This window comes from Homo sapiens, chromosome 19, assembly GCF_000001405.40.
Source record: "Homo sapiens chromosome 19, GRCh38.p14 Primary Assembly".
In the NCBI taxonomy this organism is placed as follows: Eukaryota; Metazoa; Chordata; class Mammalia; order Primates; family Hominidae; genus Homo; species Homo sapiens.
In genome coordinates this window covers 42,267,516-42,268,241 of record NC_000019.10, presented here as the reverse complement: position 1 = coordinate 42,268,241, position 726 = coordinate 42,267,516, and positions in this window count along the sequence as shown.

Here is a 726-nt window from a genome sequence, read left to right as displayed (position 1 = left end):
AACGCGCGCTTGTGGGGTGTCGCGCGCTGCAGTATAGGCAACGCGCGCGGCCTGGGGCCCGGGGGACAGGTCACCTCCTCCAAGAGTTTGACATTTAGGACAGCGCAGTTTGACAGCCCACTAGGCATTGGGGCAGGGGGCCGAGATGACGAAATGCAGCGCTTCTTGGGGCTTCGCACTGCATTACGTGGAGAGCTACACTTTGTGGGTGTACGCCCCTGACAGAGGCAGATTTTTAAAGATCCCAGGGGTAGGAGGGTATCACACTGGAGTGGAGGAGGACAGGGAGATGCCCTGTTTGTAGTAGATGCCTGCTGCCCAGATACGGGTTTACAACCAGATGGTGAACCTGTCTGCAATGCATCTATGCCCTCCACTTTGTATTCGCCCTGGTCCGAGGCTAATGGGAAGCAATATGGGTACGCTGGCCGCAGGGAGGCTTTCTTTTGCCTGTGACAGGTTCAGATTCCACACTGGAATTCACACCACTTGTGAGGAAACTGCATCCAGTCTATTGCAAGTCATACTGTCCATGAAACACTCAAACTACGTGTGAAAGAATGTGCTAGGGCATAGAGCTAGTTCATAGCATAGAAGAAATATTAGTTGTCCAATGGGGTTCATGGAATATGAAGGATATTCACATCTATGAGAAAGTCCCACTGTTCACAAATTATTTGTGTTGAGATTGGGGGAAATTCACTGTCCACGAGGAGTTCACACTCG